At 50.3% G+C, this 24,587-nt stretch overlaps 1 protein-coding gene across 6 annotated transcripts in view, besides 2 other annotated features; it reads right to left on the bottom strand.

The window, feature by feature from the left end:
- GDAP1L1 (ganglioside induced differentiation associated protein 1 like 1) overlaps positions 1–24,587 on the bottom strand; it is a 33,849-nt gene that overhangs the window by 5,657 nt on the left and 3,605 nt on the right. For 2 of the 6 annotated variants that reach the window (NM_001256738.2, NM_024034.6), the window contains exons 2-5: positions 17,946–18,138; positions 16,684–16,857; positions 11,964–12,061; positions 10,732–10,846 (exon numbers count right to left, since the gene is read on the bottom strand). In NM_001256738.2, the coding sequence (NP_001243667.1) occupies positions 10,732–10,846; positions 11,964–12,061; positions 16,684–16,857; positions 17,946–18,051 (493 nt within the window). In that variant the 5' untranslated portion in view covers positions 18,052–18,138. Of the gene's footprint in view, positions 1–10,731; positions 10,847–11,963; positions 12,062–16,683; positions 16,915–17,945; positions 18,139–24,587 lie in introns of all 6 variants that reach the window. The other 4 variants (NM_001256737.2, NM_001256739.3, NR_046353.3 and 1 more) reach the window with 4 other exon arrangements.
- Positions 608–902: a silencer, noted in NCBI's record as "tiled region #2613; K562 Repressive non-DNase unmatched - State 21:Repr". NCBI's record gives its function as "represses a minimal TATA promoter and a strong SV40 promoter by Sharpr-MPRA in K562 cells {active_cell/tissue: K562}" and the evidence as "EXISTENCE:reporter gene assay evidence [ECO:0000049][PMID:27701403]".
- Positions 2,537–3,046: an enhancer, noted in NCBI's record as "OCT4-NANOG-H3K4me1 hESC enhancer chr20:42900885-42901394 (GRCh37/hg19 assembly coordinates)". NCBI's record gives its function as "activates a minimal SCP1, AML or CMV promoter by ChIP-STARR-seq in naive H9 embryonic stem cells {active_cell/tissue: H9 hESC(naive)}" and the evidence as "EXISTENCE:reporter gene assay evidence [ECO:0000049][PMID:30033119]".

Raw genomic sequence — 24,587 nt, 5'->3', positions numbered from 1 at the left:
CTCAAGAGGCTCATAGTCACAGGGAAAGGGGTAAAGTGTAATGAAGGCTCTCATCAGAAGGTTATCCTTGAATAGGTAATCTTCAAGGCACCTGATGAGGCTGGGTGCAGTGGCTCACATCTCTCTCCCTTACTTTAGGAGGCTAAGGCAGGAGGATTGCTTGAGCACAGGAGTTTGAGACCAGCCTGGGCAACATGGCGAGACCCTCCTCTCTACAGAAAAATTTAAAAATAGCTGAATCGGTAGCATGTGCGCCTGTGGTCCCAGCTACTAGGGAGGCTGAGGCAGGAGGATGGCTCGAGCCCGGAAGGTCGAGGTTGCAGTGAGCCTTTTTCACACCACCGCACTCCAGCCTGGGTGACAGAGAGACCCTGTCTCAAAAACTAACAAACAAACAAACAAACAAAGAAGACACCTGATGGGCCCCCGAGGGGAGATAATGAGTTGGGAGTTAGTGATGCAGGTTCCAGGCTCAGAGAAGCACCATCAATGTGGAGGTGGTATTTAAAGCCAGGAGAGTGGACAGTATCAGTGTAGCCAGACTTGGAAATAGGGCAAGGGACTGAACCCGGGGTCCCTCTGCAAACTTTAAATATTGACACCAAGAGAAACCAGCAAAGATGATAAGAAGGAGCCGCCTTTCAGGTAGGAGAAGAACCAGGAGAGTGTGGTGTCCAGCAAGTCAACTTAGGACAGGGTTCCGAAGAGGAGACAGTGCTCAGCTGTGTTCACATGCTGTGTTGAGGTCAAATAGGAGGCCTGAGAACTGGTGACTGCGTTTACCGACTGGCGACCCTGGCAAGAGCAGCTGGAGTAGAATGCTGACTTAAAAGCTGGTTTGGAGGGAGTTCAAAGAGAAAGGGAGGAGAGGAATTGGAGATGGTGAACAAAGATCATTCTGCCACAGAATTTTGCTAGAATGGGGAGGATGGGCCAGTAGTGAGAGACAAGTCAAGAGCATTTTCATAAGTTGGGAGGAATAAAATAGCATGTGTTTGTGGATGATGCCACAGAGAAGGGAAAGATTCTATGGGGAAGAGTGGATAGAATTACGGATGTGGTGTTCTTACAGGGATGAGAGTGGATGGGATCTGGTGCACTAGGGAAGGGATTGGTTTTAAAGGACAATCCCTTCCATCCTTGGACAAGGACAAGAACAGTCCATCCCTTGGTAACAAGAGGGCATATATACTACCGTATTTCATCAAATCTAAGTTACTATTAAATATAAGACACTTATCCAAAAGTAAGAAAGGAGAATTAAACTATTGACTGGAATAAACATTCCAGTTTCAGAGATGCTAAGATGTGGTCTAACAAAGATGCATCTTAGAATTGATGATATACAGTGGGTGGGTCGTTGTGGGGATCAGAGCTGTGAAGATCTCTTTCTAATGCTTTGATTTTCTCAGTGATATATTGCCATTACTTTTAATGGCCAAAACCACAATTATTTTTGCACTAACCTAAAGTGATCAGTTCTGAGTGAGGATGTGGGGGAGGTGGCTGGAGGGCGGAGGAGGAAGAAGGCATAAAGGAGTCATCTAGAGAGTGAAGGGGGGAGGCTTGGGGCAGCATTGAGGTCACCTAAGGCTTGCAGTCATGAATACAAAGTGAGTCCTGCCAGCATCCTGTGTGTTTCTCCAGCCACATATAGCTTCACAGGTGAAGGCGCTGAGTAGGTGGAGAGCTGGGTTCAACAAGGTTTGAGGTTTTGCAAAGCAAGTATGGAGGGCCAGGGAGTTGAATGTGCAGGCACGAAAGTTCTCCTAATGATGAACCAGGGAATCACCACTAGGTACGGAGGGAGGTGCGATTGTGATGGGAGTGACGGACAGTGAAAGGATCAAGTGACGTAAGTCCCCAGCTGCAGACTGCATGATACCAGCAAGGGAGTGTGGGTAGACAGATCAGAGAACAGGCCCAGGGACTAGGTTTAGATACTGGGCAACATGGAGAAACCAGCAAGGGACATGAGAAGAAGCAGCCCAAGAGATAGGAGGCGAACCAGGACAGTGTGGTATAATTCCCTGGATCTTCCAACAACTCTATAAAGGTGATGTTATTATCCCCACTTTACAGATGAGGCAATCGAGGCACAGAGAGGTTAAGTAACTTAGTGAAACCTCAGCTAATATGTGTCAGAGCAGAGCCTAGATTTGAACTTAGGCCATCTGGTTCCAGATTCTGTGGTTGTAACCACTCTATTAAGCTACTTATTTCCACATGCAAATGAGCATAGACACAGCAGGTATCTCCACGTCAACTCAGGCCGCTTTCAGTACATGAGTTCTTTACTCAGGTCTGTGTGCAGATCTCTTCATGCGTCTGTATCCCGCATAGACTGCATGTTTGCCCTGTGTCTGCCTGCACAAATCCATGCAGCCGATTGTTTATATGCATGTGGATATTCACTCTCCTGGGCATCTGTGTCCACGTGGTGTGGGATTACCACACATGTGAGTGCAGTTTAAGCCCAGGCGAATCTGGATGTTTGCCTCAGACATGTTCACTATTATGTTCATGCCTATGTTTATGTTTGTAGGCAAATGCTGATGGCCTTCTATGCATGTCCGTGTTTGTGTGTGCGCCTGGGCAGCAATCTGGTATCTGATCCCTTCCCTGTTCTCCTCTCTTCTCCTCTACTTGTGTGTTCCCTTTGCAAACCCCAGGCCTGGATGAGCCCCTTCTGCACTTCTCTGGGTCTGCCAGCTGGAGGCGATCTCACAATGAGGCCAACTGGTTACACTTTAATGTCAGGACCGCAAAGCCCAGGAGGGCACTCCGTGCTGCCCAGGGTCCTATTATATTTCTTGAGTGCTTCCTGCTCCCTGTGGAGACAATTGCATCTTTTCATCCTCTCTTCTCACCCTTCTCACATCCTTTCCCCAGCTCCCTCTCAGCCAATGACATCACCTCATGGTTCGTTCAGAAGATAGCAGCTTTCAGAGATGAAAGCCCACACTCCCCACCTCAATGCTGCAAAACCGCTCCATACTGCTGATGCGGACCAATGCAGGGCGTGTCCTAACCCCACGGCCAAGCCCTCCATGTGCCCTCTGCACCTGCTCCATGCCACGTCTCCACATCTCTTCAGGTTGCCTTTCTAGGTGCTCCTCCCCCTTCTCCATGTTGTTCTGCACCCCAGGAAACTCACTTGCTGGCTCCACCCCCCGGGGCTCATGCCCTCTGGCTTCGGAAAGTTAGGCAAGTAGGAAGCAGGGGCGGGAGAGGAGGGAGAGCAACAGTGATGTTGGACTGACTTCCCTCAGCTCCTCTCTGCGAGTCATCACGGCTGGCAGTGACCACCTCTGTCCAGGTTCCTGAATCTGCTCTCATGACCCTGTGATCTCAAGACTTCAGGCCTGGGGTACTCCTCTCTGCCTTGGGATGTCCCTGCATCCTGCCTGTGGCTTGGTAAAGAGTCCCTTTATTGAACCGTCTTCCATTTCCCCTGTTTGAAGATGTCCTCTGTTTTCTACGGGGCCCCTGCCTGAACCACGCCCCTCCTGTCTTCGTGGCCTCTGCATCGCTGTCCTGAACCCCCGATTCCCCCTTTCTACTGCACTGTTTCCACCAGCATGAGAACACATTTGTACATCTCCTGTCCAAAAACAATTCCTCCTGTCACCCCACATCCTTCTTCAGCCACCACCACCTTCTTTGTTCACCTCTACCCTTCTCAAAAGAGGTATCTACACTCACCGCCTTCATTCCTCTCCTCCCATGCACTCTTCAGTCCATTCCAATCTGACTTTTGCCCCAGGTTGCAGTGAAATGCTTCTGGCGAGGTCACCGCTGACATCCATGGTAGAAAGCCGAGGGCACACTTTCTTATCCTGGCTTGCTCAAGCTCCCAGCAGCACTGACACCATTCTGTCTCCTTAAAACCCAATCCTCCCACGGTTCCTCCTAACATGTGGGTCTTCCTACTTCACTGGCCACTCCTCAGTGGGCTTTGCTGACTCCTCTGCGCTGATACCCGCTTAGTGTGGGAGAACCTCTGCATAGATGTGGTAGTTACGTTTTTATTATTATCATTATTTGAGACAGGTTCTCACTCTGTCTCCCAGAAGACGACTCACTGCAGCCTCAACCTCCTAGGCTCAAGCAATCCTCCTGCCTCAGCCTCCTGAGTAGCTGGGTCTACAGGCATGTACTACTACATCCAGCTAATTTTTGTGCTTTCTTGTAGAGACAGAGTCTCACCATGTTGCCCAGACTGGTCTCGAACTCCTGGGGCTCAAGTGATTCTCCTGCCTCAGCCTCCCAACTAGCTGGAATTACAAGTGCACGTGACCTTGCCTGGTTCAGCTGCGACAGTTTTAAAGTACACCTACAAATCACTTGATATACTCCTCCCTTCAGCGGAGCCCAATTCTCCTCCCCTTGAATAGCAGCTGTATTTCATGACTTCTAATGAATGATGGGGCAGAGTGACTTCCAGCAGTAGATCATAAAAGACATTGTGGCTTCTGCGTCTTCTCTTTCTCTGGAATAACTTGCTCAGGGAAAGCCAGCAGCCATGCTGTAAAGAAACCCAAGCAGCCTATTGAGAGGCCCACATGGTAAGGAACTAAAGTCTCCTGCCGACAGCCAGCAGGGGATAGAGGCCTCTAGCTAAGAACCACATGAATAAGGCAGCTTGGAAGTGGATCCTCCGGCCCCAGTCAAGCCTTCAAATCATTGCAGCCCCAGCTGACAGCTTGAAGGCAACCTGCATCAAGCAACCCTGACTCAGAGCTGTCCAGCTCAGCTGCTCCAGAACTCCAGATCCACAGAAAATGTGTGACATAATAAATGATTTTAAAATTTAAGACAGGCCGGGCGCGGTGGCTCACGCCTGTAATCCCAGCACTTTGGGAGGCCGAGGCGGGTGGATCACGAGGTCAGGAGATCGAGACCATCCCGGCTAAAACGGTGAAACCCCGTCTCTACTAAAAATACAAAAAATTAGCCGGGCGTAGTGGCGGGCGCCTGTAGTCCCAGCTACTTGGGAGGCTGAGGCAGGAGAATGGCATGAACCCGGGAGGCGGAGCTTGCAGTGAGCCGAGATCCCGCCACTGCACTCCAGCCTGGGCGACAGAGCGAGACTCCGTCTCAAAAAAAAAAAAAAAAAAAAAAAATTTAAGACACTGAGGTTGACAGCAGTTTCTTATGCCACACAGATAACTAATACAGCAGGTCCTGATTCCTCTTTTTGTCTCTCTCTGCTCTCTTCCTCGATGAAAACATCCAATTCTATAGCTTTAAACACCATGTATTGGCTGAGAACTCCTGAATCTCCAAATTCTGACCTCTCCTTTGAGAGTCAGTCTGGAATATCTAATGGCTTCTGTGACATTCTCTCTTGGGTGTCACAAACTCACTGTCTCCCAAACGCCCAGCCTGGAGTGCAGTGGCACAATCTTGGCTCACTGCAACCTCCGCCTCCCAGGTTCAAGCCATTCGCCTGCCTCAGCCTTCCAAATAGCTGGGATTACAGGCACGTGCCACCACACCCGGCTAATTCTTTGTATTTTTAGTAGAGACAGGGTTTCACTGTGTTAGCCAGGATGGTCTTGATCTCCTGACCTCGTGATTCACCTGTCTTGGCCTCCCAAAGTGCTGGGATTACAGGTGTGAGCCACTGTGCCCAGCCCAGGAATTACTTTTGATTCTCTTTACCTCACTCCCAACCCTCATGTAAATTCCTGCTCATTTTATCTTCAAAATACCTCTCAAGCCCATTCACACCTCACCATATCCACTGCAACCATCTCAGTCCACGCCAACATCATCTCTCACCTGAGCTGCTGCACCGGCCTCCCCTCTGTCTCCCTTGAAATCCATTTTCACGCAGCAGTTGGAATTCTCTCAAATATAAAACCGGAACAACTCAGCCCCATGGAGACTGCAAACAGGGCCATGAGTTCCTCCCATTCCTGTACACATGCCACTTTGCAATGTGTGCATCTTGATGGCTTTGCTGCTCCTGCCATCTAAGACTCATAGTTTTTTTTTTCTAAGACTGCAAACTCCGTGAGAGCAAGAATGACATCTGGATTTTGCTCATTAATTTATCCCTAGGACCTAGCATCTAGGAGATGTTCAATAAATATTTGAAAAAATGAATGAAAAAGAATGGTGATAATAATAATTTTTAGAACATTTCATCTTGAGCTGGGCACTGTGCAAAGTAATCAACATTTACTGTCTTAAATTTGCTGGCCGCAAATGCAGGAATGAGGTCAGCCGCTCCCCATGTGTGAGAGGCAAGCCGTCCCAGCTGAGCCCAGCCCATACTGCCAAGCCACATATCATGAACAAATAAAAGGCCCTTCTTTTATGTCACTCAGATTTGCAATGGTTTGTTATACAGCAGAAACTAACTGATACAATACCCTCCTCAAAGCCCTCCAGGGACTTCCCATTGTACTTAGTATAAAATCCAAACTTGTAAATGTAGGCTCTGAGGCCCGTGATCTCACCTCACCCGCTCCAGCTCTCCCCTCATTCCCACCACTTTCCCGAGGACTCCCCACACAGCAGACCATTCCTGAAGAGTTCCCAGTTCTCTCCCACTCCATGGCATCCCTCAGTCTGGGTCATATCTGCCCTGATTCTTCTCCAGGCTCCTTCTCATCCTTCAGGTCTCACTTTGAATATCACCTTCTCAGGGAAACTTTATCCACTTTATCCTGCTCATTTACTCTCAATCTTAACACTTATCGCTGTGTGCAATTCTGTGTTTACTTATGGGATTATTTGACTAATGTCTTTTTCCTCTGTAAGACTGCAAACTCCATGAAACCAAGAATGAGGTCTGAGTTTTACTCATTAGTTTATCCCTAGGACCTACCATCTAGTAGGTGTTCAATAAATATTTGAATACATGAATGAAAGAGAATGGTAATAATGATTATTTTTAGAACATTTTACCTTGAGCCAGGCACTGTGCAAAATACTCAACATTTACTATCTTAACAAATCTTCCACCAGCAACCCTGCTATGAGTTTGATTCTATTACTATCAACATTTTGCAGATGAGCTCAGAGAGATGAAGTGAGTTCCACAAGGTCACAGAGCTAGGAGGTGGTTGATCAGGAATCTGCATCAAAGCCATCTGGCTCTATGCAAGGGGTCTCAACTGTGACATTAAAATCCCTTCCAACACTGGGCTCTGCCCACGAGGGAAGAAATGGAAGGCATAAAAGTGTTTAACCCAGTCAGGTTCAGGGAACCTGGATGAGCAACCGAGGCCATGTGGGCCCAGCCAGTCAGACCTTTAAAATCCATAACCACTTCCCTGGGGCTTCTGCTACCTCCCCCAGCCCCAGAGGGATGCAAGGACTGTCGACACCTCTCCATCTTGAGCAACCCCACTTATCTCACCATGGGACAGTGCAATGCTGTCTCCTCTCAGAAGACCTCAGGACAGCGGTCAGCAGTAGGGTCCCAGCCTAGGAATCCCACAAGGAATGCATGTCTGAGGCTATTCTCCAGAACCATCCACCCTAGCCTCCATCCAGTTCAGACCCTGGGTCTCTCTGGATCACAATGTATATGAACACTTCTGTACTGTGTGCCGGGCACTGTGCTAAGCCCCTTACATGCATTTGCTCATTGATCCTCGCAGCAGCCCTGGGACGTAGGCACTCATGTTATCACCCCCTGCCTTTTTTTTTTTTTTTCTCTTTGAGACAGAGTCTTGCTCTGGTGCCTAGGCTGGAGTGCAGTGGTACAATCTCAGCTCACTGCAACCTCTGCCTCCTGGGTTCAAGTGATTCTCCTGCCTCAGCCTCCCACATAACTGGGATTACAGGTGCCCACCACCATGCCCAGCTAATTTTTTGTATTTTTAGTAGAGATAGGGTTTCACCATGTTGGCCAGGCTGGTCTCGAACTCCTGACCTCAAGTGATCCACCTGCCTCAGCCTCCCAAAGTGTTGGGGTTACAGGCGTGAGCCACTGTGCCCAACCTATCACCCTTTTATAGAACAGGAAAGAGCCCAGAGCCAGTGCTTCCTCCTCTGTTAAACAGGATCCTCATCTGTTAAACAGGATCGCTGATATTACCCACCTCCTGGGGTTGTTATGGGGATTAAGTGAGTTGAAATCTGTGAAACACCTAGAACAGGGCCTGACACACAGTAAGCTCTATTAAATATATAGATTTTTCTGGGCTGGACTGTGACCCTCACAAACTTCACATGTTGAAGCCTTAAGCTCTAGAGCAAGCTTGTCCAACCTGCAGCCCGCGGGCCACATGCAGCCCAGGATGGCTTTGAATGTGGCCCAAAACTAATTCATAAACTTCCTTAAAACATTCTGAGAATTTTTTGCGATGTTTTTTAAGCTCATCAGTTATCGTCAGTGTTAGCATATTTTATGTGTGGCCCAGGACAGTTACTCTTCTTCCAATGTGGCCCAAGGAAGCCAAAAGATTGGACACTCCTAAAATCTCAGAATGTGACTGTATTTGGAAACAGGGCTTTTAAAGAGATAATTACCTTAAAATGAAGAGCTTAAGGTGGGTCCTCATTCAATCAGACTAAAGTATTTATAGGAGGAAATTTGGACTCAAAGACACCAGGCATGTGCAGCACAGGGGAAGGGCCATGTAAGGACACGGCAAGAAGGCAGCCACTTACAAGCCAAGGAGAGAGGCCTCGAGAGAAACTCACCCCACAGGCACCTTGATCTGAGATGTCTAGCCTCCAGCTCTGTGTGACAATAGGTTTCTGCTGTTTAAGCCCCTCAGTCTGTAGTATTTTGTTATGGAAGTCCTAAGAAACTAATGCATAAGTGAATAACATATACTTGATGTCCAAGGTCACCCACCGAGAGCATGGCAGAGCTGGGACTCTGTCCCCCAAAGGCCCATCTCTGAACTACCAAGCCTTTTGGCCCCTCAGAGCCATTAACTCTGCAACAGCTCCCCTTAGCTACCGTTAGGATAGAAACAGGAAAGTTCCTTTTTTTTTTTTGGTTGGGGGGCAGGGGATGGAGTCTCTCTCTGTCCCCCAGGCTGGAGTGCAGTGGCGCAATCTGAGTTCACTGCAACCTCTGCCTCCCAGGTTCAAGTGATTCTCCTGCCTCAGCCTCTCGAGTAGCTGGGATTACAGGAACCCAGCACCCCGCCCAGCTAGTTTTTGTATTTTTAGTAGAGACAGGGTTTTGCCATGTTGTTAGGCTGGTCTCGAACTCCTGACCTCAGGTGATCCACCCGCCTCGGCCTCCCAAAGTGCTGGGATTACAGGCGTGAGCCATTGTGCCCAGCCAAAAGTTCCCCTTTGAGGTGCGTTATTTTTTTTACTCACTTAGTCATACCAGGCTTTGTTTCCAGAAATGATTTAAGGCAGCTGGCTTCAGTATGCATGATGATGTCTCTGTTCGGGACATAAGGTCTTGTGCTTGTGGCATCAGTTGTGAGATGCTGGAAACAACACTGGACCCATCGAGAGGGAACAAGTTCTGGCCCTAACCATGACATCTATGAGCTGCCTGACCTTGAGCAACTCACTTCATCTCTCTGAGCCTCAGTTTTCTCATCTGGAGAATGTGTGTCCCTTTAGCTGCCATATGTATTAAACTAGTAATGGGACAGGCAGTGTGCTGAGTATATTGAATTTTCACAAGAGTCCAGCAAGACAAGGTTAAGTTGTATTATTACCATCCCATCTTATAGATGAGGAAACTGAGGCTTCAATAGGGAAAGCAACTTGTCCAAGGTTACATATTTGAGGCAGCAAAGCTGGAACTCTATTTCAAGTTTTTCTTACTCTAACCCCATCTGTTTAGACCCTGGGCTCTACGGCCTTCCCATACACATAGCCATGCATGTGCAGGAGGCTGTTGCAAATGCACCATAAATTTGCATTGTTCAGGAGACAAGACTCATCACAGGTCTTAAACGGAGCAAGATGGGAAGCTCAGAATGAGATTTGAAGAAGGGCTGTGGCAAAGATGGTGTGCAACAGGCAAAATGGAGTGGAGTGGTGTAGGAAGGGTGCTCCAGGAGGGAGGGGCTGTGGGAGCAAAAGCATGGAGGTAGAATGAAGCTGGCATGTCCAAGTTTAGAGGCCCAGCTGGGAGCAGGAAGAGTCAAGGTCAACGAGAGTCTGGGTGAGCTTGGATGTCTGGCTGGAGCACGAAGGAGCTATAATGCATTCTTGGGCAGGGCAAGTGGGATGGTGTGGTGGGTAGTGGCCATCAAGTTGTGTAAGGGAGGTGATGGGGGAGCAACCGAGTATTCAGTATGCATGATGATGTCTCTGTTCGGGACATAAGGTCTTGTGCTTGTGGTATCAGTTGTGACATGCTGGAAACAACACTGGACCCATCGAGAGGGAACAAGTTCTGGCCCTAACCATGACATCTATGAGCTGCCTCTTAACATCATCTTCACCTACCTTTATTAAACACCTACTGTGTGCTAAGCCCTGATCTAAGCACTCTACGTGTATTATTTCACACAATGTCTCAACAGCTCTTTGAGGCAGGTCCTACTATTATCCCCATTTTATAGATGGGAAACTGAATTTCAGAGAGGGGAGAACCTGACCACATTTACTAAGCTAGGAAGTGGCCAAGTTATGACTTGAACCTTAGTCTGACTCCATAGCCCATCCTCTTAACCACCTGGGAGGTCCTCTGAGACTTTTGCGGAAAAAAGAGGCTGAGACTGGGCAGGGGAAGAGTAGGCTGGGTGGGCTGCAGCCCCCACCTCCCCCAGGGCTGGCACCCACCCTCGTTCTCCAGCTTCCTCTTCTCCAGCTCCGCCTCAATCTGGTCCAGCACCATGGCCAGTTCCCCGAGGATCTTCTTCAGGTAGCTCACATCATCATGCTCCAAGATCTTGGCCTGGGGGCAGGACAGGGCCAAGAGAAGCTGAGTTGGCCTCAATAGAGCCAGGATGTTCAGGGATGGAAGGAGCTTTGCTGAACTTCTTCTGCAAACCCAGCCTCCAAATGCCCCCCAAGTGTATAGGATGCCCCCCCGTTATGAAGCACCCTCATCTGGTGCCTACAACAGTCCTGTGAGCTTGGCTGTCCTGCCTAGATCCCTAGTACATTCTTACACCCAGATGCTGGGAGGGCTGGCTGCTAGTGGCTCACAGCTGCCCCTTCTCTCAGCCAATAAGGAGCTGCATTGCCCACAAATACCTGGGAGGTTACCGGCCCGCACCCCTCCCTCCAACAATCTGTAGCCAATGTCCCACTGATATGAGGGGATAAAAGGCTGGCCCCTTACTTCAAGGTTGATCACCTTTGTGGTGCCATTTGTGCTCCAGAGCTTCCTGTGGAATCAATTGAGGCTTAGCAGCTTCCTCTTCCTTATCCCTCCCATCCCTCTGGGGTCCCCCTCAGAGCAATCCTTCAATACCTCCTTTCCCAAGAACCCCTGTTCAGTGCTCTGCATTTATTTTTATTTATTTATATATTTATTATAATTATTATTATTTGAGACAGAGTCTCACTCTGTTGCCCAGGCTAGAGTGTAGTGGCCCGATCTCAGCTCACTGCAACCTCCGCCTCCCAGGTTCAGGCAATTTCCTTGCCTCAGCCTCCCGAGTAACTGGGACTACAGGCATCCGCCATGATGCCCGGCTAATTTTTGTATTTTTAGTAGAGATGGGGTTTCACCATGTTGGCCAGGCTGGTCTCAAACTCCTGACCTCAAGTGATCCACTTGCCTTGGCCTCCCAAAGTGCTGGGATTACAGGAGTGAGCCACCATGCCTGGCCAATGCTCTGCTTTTAAAGACACAACCTAACACATGAGGAAACTGAGGCCCGAGGGCAGCAGTGGCTTACCCCAGGTCTAACAGCTAGTAAATGGCAGGGGACAGGATTGGAAAAGCAAGCCAGGGGCTTTTCCATTTCATATCATCAGCTGATCTTCTACTTAGTTTCTCCTATTGTTCATTTCCGTGGAAGAGCTCGTAGGGAAGGGGACTCAGCAGGCCGGGAGGTACTCACCATGAGCTTCTTTTGTTTAGAAAGGTAGGGCTCGGAGAGCTGGGGCTCCTCTTCATGGTCCAGTTTCATGAGGTCCGTGGTGGCATTGGCTAAATGTCCTGGGGAGATAATAGGAAAGGTCCCATCCCTCTGATACCTTGGTTGCTCCCCCATCACCTGCCTTACACAACTTGAAGTAGGCCCCATCCAAACACTGGTCAGAAGAGTAATACTGTCGACAGCCAACACTTAGGGAGCACTGCAGGCTGTGCCGTAGTGATGGATGAGATGCCATCCTGCCCTGAGCTCAGGCTGGTGGGAGAGATAGGCACATAAAGAAATCTCAGCCAATGGCTCACCCCTGTAATCCTAACACTTTGGGAGGCTGAGGTGAGAGGATCACTTGAGCCCAGGAGTTCAAGACCAGCTTGGGCAAATAGCAAGAACCCATCTTAAAAAAAAAAAGTTAGCCAGGTGTAGTGGTGCACACCATAGTCCCAGCTACTCAGGAGGTTGAGGCAGGGGGATCGCTTGAGCCTGGGAGGTCGAGGCTGCAGTGAGCTATGATAGCACCACTGCACTCCAGCCTGGGCAACAGAGTGAGACCCTTACTCTAAAAAAATACAAAAATAAATAAATAATACACATCAGCAATATTATAAAATACACAGTTAAAAAAAATAAAAATAAACTCTATGGTACAGCATGAGTAAACTGTAGGGAAGAGTGAACACAAGGCATAGGGACCCAGGGGCTGCCTGCCTGGGGCACAAGGGGCTGAGAGACCTCACGGAGGAGGAGACTGTACCCTTGAGGACGAGTAGTAGATGCCAGAAACCGATAGACCCAACCCTAGACCTGGTCATCTTCCCTGCCTCACTGCTTCTCCCCCTGCATTCTTCCCAAATTGCAGCATCCCCTCCCCAACACAAAGCCCAGCCAGATTCCTGGATTTGCCCTCAGCTCCTCCCACTACCTCACCCCACATCAAGTCATTCCCAGGTCCTGTTGATTCTTCCTCCTCCATCTTTCTCATATTTTTTCACATTTAACCTCCTCCATTTAACTGACTCTCTCTTAGTTCAGACCCCATTAATGTCTCACCTAGATGGTTTCACCCACCCTCTGTCACCTCCCCTCTCTCCCTTACAGGCCCTTCTCCCCACCCCTACCAGAGATATCTTCTTCACACACTTGACCATGCCACTCTGTTTAAAACCCATCCCTGGCTCCTCACTGCCCTCGGATAACATCCTAGCTCCTCAACTTGCCTTCAAAGAGCCTTCAGGATCCACTTGCCCTCCCTCTCACCTACTCCATCTTTCACTGAGTTTTCCCAACTGTTCCTGTCCCAATATGTACATTTCAGCCACTGTACATGCTTGCTGTTCCCTGAATGTGCCAGACCACTCCACACCTCCAGGCTTCTGCTCATACTACTACTTCTTCCTAAAATAGCCTTATCCTCCTTTCCTGAAAGCTTCCTTCTAGATTCAGCTAAAGATTTCCTCCTCCAGGAAGCCCTTCCTGATCCTGTAGGAGGTCTGCCCGCTCAATGTCTTTGTTCCCCAGTTTACGCCCTACAGACTTCTGCCAGGGAACGCAAACACGCTAATCAGAGCTGCCATTCACAACTCCATTAACCTTGCTGTCTATATGAAAAGAGCCCTCCTGGGCTTGAGTCCACAACCTGCCTGCTTGCTGTACATGGAGATTTTGGTGCTAACGTAGTTATCACTGAATGTGTATGTCTCCCTCTAACACTTGAGCTTCTGGAGAGCAGTGGCTATGTCAGATTCATCTTTGTTCCCTTAAAACTCAACACAGGCCTGGCACAGAGCAGGAGCTCAGTGAGTGTTGAATGAATGAATGAATGAAATGAGTGAGTGACTTAGGTTGTTTAGCTTCTGTCATCTGAGATTTCACCACCTACTGCCCCATCTCCTGTCCTGACACAAATCCCAGTAAACGCACTCCCAGATCATTCAGCTTCAGGGCTATATTAAGTCTCATTGATGTTTTATGAATGTGAAGGTCAAGGACAGCATCTTTCTTGCGTGTCACCCAGCGCTGCCCATGTGGTGGCTTCAGACTCCAGGAGGGCAGGCCACCCCAAGAGAAGACTTGAGACTGATTAAGGGGTCGCTGCAGGCTGGCTTCTACTCCTTCTGCACTCTGGGACCTCCCTCCTCTCATCCCCCAGCTGGGCTGGAGCCCTGAGATCCTCTCTGCCTCCTCAGAGAAAGATGGGGAGAGAGGGGGTGGGCTGGGTCTGCTCTGGACTCCCAGTGCCTTCTAGGCACCTTCAAATGGCTCAGGGCAAGATTGAGGGAGAGTGCCCCTAATTCCCAGAAGCCCTTGGGGACTGCCTCCAGCCCTTGGCCAGGACCCTGCCTACCAACAGCCAGGGCCTACCCCGTTCATTCTTCCCTCAGAGGAGAGATCTTCGTAAAATGCAGATCTGACCACGTCACTTCCCATCACCGTTTCTCCACTGCTCTTTGGACAAAATCCAAATTCTGCCAGACCCTCCTCCCCAGACACACACCACGACCATTTCCACCCCACCTTGGGCTACACTTGCACCACACTGAGCTTCCTCCATTCCCCAAAAACAATACACCCTGTCCTACTCCAGAATGTGAAATAATTCTCCCTCTTTCTCCCCTTCTACCTGCTACACATCCTCGGTCGCTGCTGCATTTTGGAAGGCTTCTGTGGCCCCGGAGGCTGGGGTGGACATCGTGTATGCCCAGAACCTCCCTGATCTCCTGCTCATAACACTCATGGGCACCAGATTAAACGTTTTTAAACGAATTTATTTTTGAGCAGGATATACATGTATATTGTTGAAATTCAAACAAGATTGAAGAATGTACTATAAAAGTAAATCTCTGTCCTCTGCAGCTGCAGTCTCTTAGTTCTGCTCCCCAAAGACACAAACTATTGGCAGCTTCTGTGTATCCTTCCAGAAATACTCCTTGCAGTGCAAGCACCTGTGTGTCCATTTAACCTCATTCTGAGTACTAATGAGAGCACACTAGATGTTGTTTTTTTTTTTTTGCCCTTCACTTTTTTCTACTCACTAATATATCTTAGGAAGCATTCCATACACCTATTAATTTTTAAAAACATCTGCACAGTATTCCGTTGTATGGAAGTACCCATAACTTATTTACCCAGTTCCCAATTCATGACAGCTGGGTAATTTCCAGCGATATTCTTGCTCTTGCCAACTGTGCTGCAGTGAATACCTTTGTTCATACTTCTTGGTGCATATGTTCAAGTGTAACTGCAGGGTAATCTCCAAGATGTGGGCTTTCTCATGTTTGACATAGAGTACCAGGCCGCCCTCCTGAGAGCGCATTCAAACTCACTTAGTTCTGCACTGTAATTGGCTGGTGACTTGTCTTTCCTTCCATGGAACTTGACCCTGGGATGGCAGAAGCTGTGTCTATTCCTGTTTGTCCCCAGTCCCCTGCCCAGGGCCTCATAAATGTTGTTGAGGGGGCTGTTGCTGGGAGCCGGATGTACAGGTAAATCCTGAGTCTTGGCCACATATGGTGGCTCATGCCTATAATCCCAGCGCTTTGAGAGGCTGAGGCAGGCAGATCACCTGAGGTCAGGAGTTCAAGACCAGCCTGGGCAATATGGCAAAACCTCATCTCTACCAAAAATACAAAAAATTAGCAAGGCATGGCAGCATGTGCCTGGGGTCCCAGCTACTTGGGAGGCTGAGGTGGGAGAATCGCTTGAGACTGGGCAGAGGAGGTTGCAGTGAGTCAAGATTGCGCCACTACACTCCAGCCTGGATGACAGAGGGAGACCCTGTCTCACAAAAAAAAAAAAAAAAAAATTCTGAGTCTTGTTCAATGACAATGGTTCTCAAGGGACAGGGTTGAGTTCTACAACCTAACACCGCCCCAACCCTGCCTTTGAACATTAGCCACATTCCTTTGAGGGGGACGACATGACCATTCACTGAGCACCTATTATCTACTAAGAATCTTCAGGTGTCTTTTGGCTGTAGGACCCCATGGTGTTTGTTCAAAGCCTGGATCGTAGTCTGTAAACAGCTGCTGAGGGATTATCTGATTTAATCCAACACCCATTCACTGGGTGTCAGATACAAAAGGATGAAGTAGGCTGTGAGCATGTCCAGGCTGGCCATTAGGACAGGACATGCTCATGGGTAACCTTCAATCTGAGACCTCACTGGGGGCCTTGCCACATCTGGGTAGTCTTCCTTGGTAATCCTAACCCTGAGGTCACTCAGAGCCCTTGGCCACGAAGCACAGCCCTGACTGTCTAAGGCTGAAACTCGTGCGGGGAGAACAAACCTTGTGGGGACAGACAGCCCCATAGTCTGTGTATGGGGGGGGCAGGACAAGAGTAGGGGACAGGGGAGGGGGATGGGAGCGAGACTGGCAGAGAGGGAGAGAGACATATTCTGTTAGAAACTGGGTGAATGAGATGGAAGGCCGGGAAGTCGGGGGTGAAGGGGATGGCAAGCAAGAGGAACAGAGAGAAAGAGCAAGAGAGAGAGAGAGAGACCAGCAGAGTGAGAAACCAACCCCGAGCACTCAGAGAGAGGCGGGGACAAATGGAGAATGCAAGAGGGAGAGAAGGAGGAGGAAGGGGAGGACAGAGAGAGGCCCAGGAGAGGGAGGACATCCTTTGGAAGAAAGGAGCGGCGCAAAGGGGGAAAGCAGAGGGGCTGTCTCGCCGCCCTGGCACTCACTGCGGATCTCGGCCGTGGCGTACTTGGGGATCATGGAGTCGGTGGTGAGCTCGGGATGCAGGATGCAGCCATGCGTGTAGGCATCCATGGGCAGTGCGTCCAGCAGCTCCCGGTACTGCAGCACCCGTGCGTGCTGCAGGCTGCCCACCTCGGGCATCAGGGCCACCACGTGCTCTGTGGGCACCGCCAGGGGCTGGGCAGGGAAGCCAGAGGGGCACCTGCCCCGGCCACCTGCCCCCGGCATCCCTGAGCCCCAAGATGTCTCTGCCCAGAGGCCCTGGGCACCCCCATGCTCGGGCTTGGCTGCTGGCGGACAGGGGATTCTAGTGGTGGCCCGGCCATCTCTCCTCACTGGGCTCTGCCAAGCTGTCCCCGAGGGTTAGCTCCTCTCAGCTCCAGACTTGCTGCCAGGCGGGGTCCTAGACCCAGTGTTGCGGGATTCAAGAGAAGCTGCAACCTGGGTGCTCAATGCTTGGGTCCCCTTGACTTTTAAATGTTGGCAACCAACTCACATTCTTTTAAAACAGTGCATGTCTGGGCCCTGATGCCCTCCCAGTGGGTGTCTGAGCCTATGCAATGGGCAGTAAGTTCCTGAGCCTGAGGAGGGCCTACGAGGGGAGAGGACGGGGTCTCTGCGAGGTTCTGGGGTACCTGGGCCCTCCTCTGCCTGCGGGGTTTTGGGGTGTCTGGGCTCTCCCCTGTCCATGGGGTTCTGGGGTATCTGGGCCCTCCCCTGTCTCAGGGTTCTGGGGTGTCTGGGCCTTCCCCTGTCTCAGGGTTCTGGGGCGTCTGGGAACATGTCTTCAGGTTCCTATGGGGTCCTAGGGAATCTATGTTCCAGAGGGAGCTGGGCCCTGTCCTTGCCCTGTAACCCCTGGGAGATCTGGACCCTGTCTGTGGGGACCTAGAGGGTGGTCTGGGGCCACTCATGCTGAAGGGGCCATGCCTGTGACTCTAGAGCTCGGGGGAAAGGGCTATAGCCCCACTGCTCCTGGTGGGGGGGTGTCTGGGTCATGCCCTTACAGTACCAGGGGAGGGGAGGTCTCTGTATGGATCAGTAGCTATGCCTGTGGCTCTGGGGCTCTGGGGGCATCTGAACCCTGCCTGTGGCTCTGTGGCTCCTTTTTGGGGAGACTGGGCCTTGCCCATGGCTCCAGTGAATTTCCCAGACTTCCCAAAGTTCTGGGACCCCGTCTGAGCCTGTGGGGACCCCTGAGGATCTGTGGTATGGAGTGGGCCCCTGGGTGGGGAGGCAGCCGTACCTCCTGTGAAGGTGCGCTCCACATAGTCAATGATCTGGTCATAGTCACTGATGATGTTGTCGCGGTGGATGATGACGGGCACCTCCTCGCCCAGGTTGAGCCGCATGAACCAGGGCTCCTTGTGCTCGCTCTGTGGCAGGCTCACGTCCCGCTCCTCGCACACCAGGCCCTTCTCGGCGATCACCAGCCGCACCTGCAGGCGCCAGGGTCAGAGCGGGGAAGGCGGGCGGACACAGGGGACACTCTGCCCAGGTGGGGCGGGGGTGTGCGGGGAGGGAGGTCAGAGGTCACACACAGGAGGGGACACGATTGCTTTCAGCCCATTCTTGGGCACCTGGGTTTGGGGGGATATCTCCCAGGGGCATGTGCCTGGTGGAGGGAGGAGCGCAGTTCTGCTTGGGGGACAAAGGGCAGTGCTGCCTGGTGGCTAAGGGGCTGGATTTGACAGCTGGACACATCTGGGATAGGATTCCTGGCTGTGTGAGTGTGGGCAGTCCTTAAACTTTCTGGGCCTCAGTTTTCTTATTTTAAAAATGATAGTATTAACAGTACCAACCCAGTGTCTGGGACAAATTATTGGCACTCAATTTGTGATCGTCGTTATCACAGTTGAGCACTCAGCCTGGCCCCTAGGAGTAGATCTGGCCAGGAAATTCACAGAAACTTTTTTTTTTCCCCTTTTTTTTAAGACAGAGTCTTGCTCTATTGCCCAGGCTGGAGTGCAGTGGCGCAATCTCAGCTCTCTGCAACCTCTGCCTCCTGGACTCAAGCGATTCTCCTGCCTCAGCCTCCCGACTACAGGCTGTCACCACTACACCCAGCTAATTTTTGTATTTTTAGTAGAGACAGGGTTTTGCCATGTTGGTCAGGCTGGTCTTCAACTCCTGACCTCAGGTGCTCTGGCCACCTCAGCCTCCCAAACTGCTGGGATTACAGATGTTAGCCACCGTGCCTGGTCAGAAACTCTTATTATTATCATAATCAACAGCTAAATTTCTCAAATTATTTGGGGTACTAAGTGAGGGGAAAAGTAACTTGCCAACATTAGTCGAGCCCTTTATTTCCCCCAAACACCTCATCTGGTTGCCTGGTTGGAAACTCACAACAGCCCCTAGAGGAGGGTAGAACAGTATCTCCCCATTTTTCTTGATGAGAAAACTAAAGCCCAGAGATGGCAAGTAATCTACCCAAAGTCACACAGCAATTCAGCAGCAGACTTAAAACTGGAAGCAAGGTTCTTGACTCCCAAACCAGTGCTCTCTGCCCTGAGGGCTCCTTCCAGGGAGTTCTGGGCCTGCCCCTTCCTGAGTCTTTCTTTATGTTTCTAAGGGCTCCCAGACACACATTTGAGCTGGTAGAAGCTGCCAGAGAGCCTTGAGGCTGGGGCATGCTCCTGACCCAGCCCAATATTTCTAAGTTAGAAGATGGTTAGAGATCACCTAGTCCTATTGCCCCCTGCCTGTGGACTGAGACTCAGAAGGAAGGATGGGCTTGTCCAAGATCCCCTGGCAAGATGGCAAGTGGCCCCATTCTTATGCTTCCCTCCCCACCTTCCACTCTGGTCCAGGGGAGAGGGAGGGTATCCCCAAAAGAGGAAAGGCCCATTCCCCTTGAGCATCAATGTCTCCACCCACAGCTGAGATGGTGGCTCCTGGGACAAGTTAAGCATCCAGAAGAGGCAATGCAGCGTCATGGGCAGAACCTGAACGGTGTTGTTTCAAATCCCAGCTTTACACTTATTTGCTGGATGACTTGGCTTTACAAGTAGCTTTACTTTTTTTTTTTTTTTTTTTTTTTTTTTTTTGAGACAGAGTCTCGCTCTGTTGCTCAGGCTGGAGTGCAGTGGTGCGATCTCGGCTCACTGCAACCTCCGCCTCCTGGGTTCAAGCGATTCTCCTACCTCAGCCTCCCGAGTAGCTGGGATTACAGGAGCATGCCACCACACTTGGCTAATTTTTGTATTTTTAGTAGAGATGGGGTTTCACCATATTGGCTAGGCTGGTCTTGAACTCCTGACCTCAAGCGATCCACCTGTCTTGACCTCCCAAAGTGCTGAGATTATAGGTGTGAGCCACCATGCCTGGGCAGCTTTACTTCTTTGTGCCTCAGTTTCCCCTCTTATCCAGTGGGAGTCCTATAGTAATTGCCTCGGAGGCCCGCTGTGAGGATGAAATTCCTTAGTCCCTGTGGAATGGTGCCTGGAACACAGTAGGGGTAATGTGTCTTAGCTGCTGGTATGAGGGCAGGTTTTGGAGGCAGACAGACTTTGACTTGGAAGCCTAGCTCTACTGCTTATTTGCTGTGTGACCTTGAACAAGTCACTTGCTCTCTCTGATTTCTAGCTTCCGTGAAGTGAGGAATGCAAGTGTGAGGTTGAAATGGGCTGTTGTGGAGACAGCCCCAGCACAGAAGGTTAATACATGAGTTCTAGCATCACTTATTACACACACACACCACACACACACCCTGGTGTGTCCTAGAGTACTTCATGCCCCACCCTCACAGTGAACATAAACACCTCCTCCTGTTTGGTGGATCATGGGAAGGGAAGGGTAACTTGCCCTGAAACACCCAACATTCATTCACAGACTTATTTGCTCCATTAGCCAAGAGCAGGTCCTATAGGTGGGGCGCATGGTGCAGGTAGAGACCCTGGGCTAGGAGGCAGGGACTCAAGTCCTCATCTTGGATCTGCCATAGCAATGCTGTGTGACCTTAGAGCTATCACTGCCCCTTTCTGAGCCTCCTTTTTCTCATCAGCAAAACAAGGGGGCTGGATTCAGTGTTCACAGAGTGCCCCGCAGCCCTGCTGCAAGCTGACACTACTACATTCACAACCTTGCAGGAGGCAGGAGACAGGGCTGGCTCTGCTTCCCTCCTCGGCAGTGGGAGGGAGCTTCTCGTTCTGTCTGAGAGAGGGGGAAAAACTGTTGCAGAGAGTGAGCAGCCTGGGGGCAGCATCTGTTTGGGTCTGAGTGTGAGTGCGTGTGTATGAGTGAGCAAATGTGTTTGCGTGTCTGCGTGTGTGTGAGTGTGGGTGTGCATGGAAGAGTGTATGAGTAAGTGTGAGTATTCAAGGACTGTGTGAGTGTGGATGTGAGAGTGCACATGTGTGTACATGTGAGTGTGTGCCATGTGTGTTCCCGGTCAGTGTGAGTGTGCATGCGTGGGAGCAGGTATGCATGTGTATATTTGAGCTCATGGGCGGCCTGTGCCCTGGAGAAGCCCAGAGTAGTGGAGACTGGAGTTTGGCTGGAGCAGAAAGCCCCCTTCTCTTGTCTTTACCTGGCCCTCCATCCTCCAGGCCAAGCTGGGACCTCTGAATGGGTGGAAACAGAGTCCAAACCAGGCCTTTGCCCTTGGTAGGGCCAGACAGTTGGCCTTCCATCTTGGCAGGGCACCTGCCTCCAGGGGCCGCTCCCATGCTCTACCCTGGGTCTCCCATGAAAGTATCAGGGCTGCTATTTGGGGAGGGGACTATATCTTTAGAGGCATGATAATCCTGCTTGGAGCTGCTTTGGGGTCACCCTGGCAGGCGGCCAAGGAGACTTTCACCTTTAGCTGAGCTACAGGCCAGAGCCATGTGTCACCCTGTGGAGGAAGGGGACCCAGAGAGGAAGCCAAGCCTAAGGGAAGGGCATTCAGCTACCAAGGCCATCTGCCATCTCTGCCCCCTGGAGGCTGGACCAGACCTAGGTGGTCACCACTTAGTGTGATCAGACATCAACCATCTCTAGGTAAACGAACTTCCCTGTTGGTGCCTGAAAATCACCCACAGTGCCGCATTGTCATGGGTCAGGCACTGCCTCTCCTCACCCAGGCCCTTGTTTATGTGATGGGCTGGGTTGTTGTCTCTGCCTAGTCATTTAGTTGCGGTGTGACTTTGTATAAAACACTTAGCATCTCTGACCTCAGTTTATTTCAAATTCTTTTTTTAAAAAAATTAGTAGGCCTTATTTTTAGAGCAGTTTTAGATTTACAGAATCAAATGGCTTTTTAACATAACACCTTACAGCTTGCAAATCCATCACTTTTCACCACTTGTTTATTGAGTGCCTACTATGTGCCAGGTCTTGTTGGAAACTTAGCAGTGAACAAAACAATGATCCCTGCCCTCAGGGAACTGACATGTCCGTGGGGGCAGGCAGATGGTAAGCAATTTGGTCTGTCAAAAGACGGTGAGTGCGTCCAAAAAAAGAGAAAATAGAGCAGGGAAGGGGAATCGGGGTACCATGGTGTCAGGGATAAAGGTAGCAATTTTAATTAAGGTGGTCTATTAGGGCAGGCCTCTCGAGAAGGTGGCCCTTGAGCAAAGGCTTGAAAGAAGTGAGGAAGTGGTCCACACAGGGACCTGGGGAAGAGAGCTTCAGTCAGAGGGAACAGCCAGTGCTAAGGCTCTAAGCATGTTGGACATACTCAAAAGATAGCAAGGAAGCCAGTGTGTCTGGAGCAGAGCAGTCAGGAATAGACGAGGAGGGTAGGAGCAGAAAGGGTTGTGCATAGGATTTTTTTTTTTTTTTTTTGAGACAGGGTCTCACTCAGTTGTCCAGGCTGGAGTTCAATGGTGCAATCTCAGCTCACCGCAACCTCCATCTCCTGGATTCAATCGATTTTCCTGCCTCAGCCTCCCAAGTAGCTGGGACTACAGGCATGCACCACCATGCCTAGCTAACTTTTGTTTTTTGTTTGTTTGTTTGTTTGTTTTGAGCTTGAGTTTCGCTCTTGTTACCCAAGCTGGAGTGCAGTGGTGCAATCTCGGCTGACTGCAACCTCCGCCTCCCAGGTTCAAGCGATTCTCTTGTCTCAGCCTCCCGAGTAGCTGGGATCACAGGTGCACACCACCACGCCCAGCTAATTTTTGTATTTTTAGTAGAGACGGGATTTCACCATGTTGGTCAGGCTGGTCTCAACCTCCTAACTTCAGGTGATCCGCCTGCCTTGGCCTCCCAAAGTGCTGGGATTACAGGCGCGAGCCACCACGCCCAGCCTGTATTTTTAGGAGAGACAGGGTTTCACCTGTTGGCCAGACTGGTCTCAAACTCCTGACCTCAGGTGATCCACCCACCTTGGCCTCCCACAGTGCTGGGATTACAGGTGTGAGCCACCACGCCTGGCCGGGTTGTGCACAGGATCTTTTAATCCACACTCCCAGGCCAAGGGGTCCATGAATTAATTCAGGGGCTCCTTGAACTAGGATGGGAAAATTACATGTTTATTTTCAGTAATCTCAAACTGACAGTTAGCATTTTCTTCAATTATGAATGTAGGCGATAAAGTAGGGTAGCGTTTAGCAGTGCCTGCAATATTGTCACCACTAGGAATCAGATATTTTCATCACTTCACAGTTGTTGCAGTTGTCTCAAAATATCATGCGCACTCATCACGACTCCAACATGACAGTTGTTATGAGACCGGCCACCAGACCGTGTTATATAAGGGGTTAATAAAGAAACATAAATATTATTATATAACGCCGTACTTCAATACGATTGGTTTTCGTTCTAATCTAAAAATCCTATACATTTTATTTTATTCAATTAAAAACATTATTCTGAGAAGGGCCCATAAGCTTCCCCCAACTTAGGTCTTGACTCAAGCAAGGTTAGGACCCTGCAGGAGGGCCTGAGGCCATTGAGAGGACTCTGGAGTTTTCCTGAGGGACCTGGGGAGCCACTGCAGGCTTCTGAGCAGAGAAGCAGGGAGATGCATCTCGTTGCTGCCCCCATCAGCTTTCCTCTCTGGGGCTCCTCTTAGGTGAAGGGAGGCGGTACACGGTCAAGTGCAGCATGGACAAGTTGGAGGGTCAGCCCTAAGAGTTTGAAAGGCAAGGGCAGGGTGGGAAAGAGAACTCATCCTTCACCCCCTTGCTTCTCTCCTGCCATGCCTGGGTGTCTGAACTGGCCTCTGGCAGGCCCCAGACTTGGGTCTCTTGCCCCTGGGATCTGAAGGCTGGGCCAGGGGCCCTCCAGAGGTACATCCAAGACAGGGCAGACCCTGAGAGGAGGCAGTAAGGGAACCATGAACCAGGCTTGCTGCAGGGAGCCAGAGACGACCCTCAGAGACTCACTCTGGTGGAAATAACAGCAGTAACAACAGCCAACTCTTATTATCACCTCCTCTGTGCCAGGCACTATTGTAGAGCTTTACATGCATTAGATCTTAATCCCTATGAATTCCAATGAAATTGGTACTAGTACCTCCCAGTACCCTCACTTTTAAGAAAAGGAAGCAGGCACAGAGATTGTAAGTAACTTGCCCAGTCACACAGCTAGGAAGTAGCAGTCTTGGTTTTTGAAAAGGGGCAGTTGTGAGGACAGATGGATGCCCCAAAGTCAACGGGCACCGAGAGGTAGGGCAGTTCTTCCTGCCTGGTGAAGGAGGAGGGAGGCACGTTGTATCAAACATCTGGTTCATTTCCCTGCTGAGAAAACTGAGGACCAGAGAGGGTCAGGTCACACAGCCAGTTAGTGGGACTGGCAGCACTAGAACCTTGGTCTCCTGACTCTATGCTTTTTTGCCCCTCCTGGCCTCATTCTTCCCCACAAAGGAGGAGGAGGCTGGGGGCAGGAACAGCCTCAGAAGCATCCTAACATTGACCTTAGGCATTTAGAGCCTCCTTCAAACCCTGTGGCCCCAAGCAAT

This window comes from Homo sapiens, chromosome 20 (genome assembly GCF_000001405.40).
Source record: "Homo sapiens chromosome 20, GRCh38.p14 Primary Assembly".
NCBI lineage: Eukaryota > Metazoa > Chordata > Mammalia > Primates > Hominidae > Homo > Homo sapiens.
Note: the sequence above shows the minus strand (reverse complement) of the source record. Positions and strands in the feature narration are given on the sequence as shown.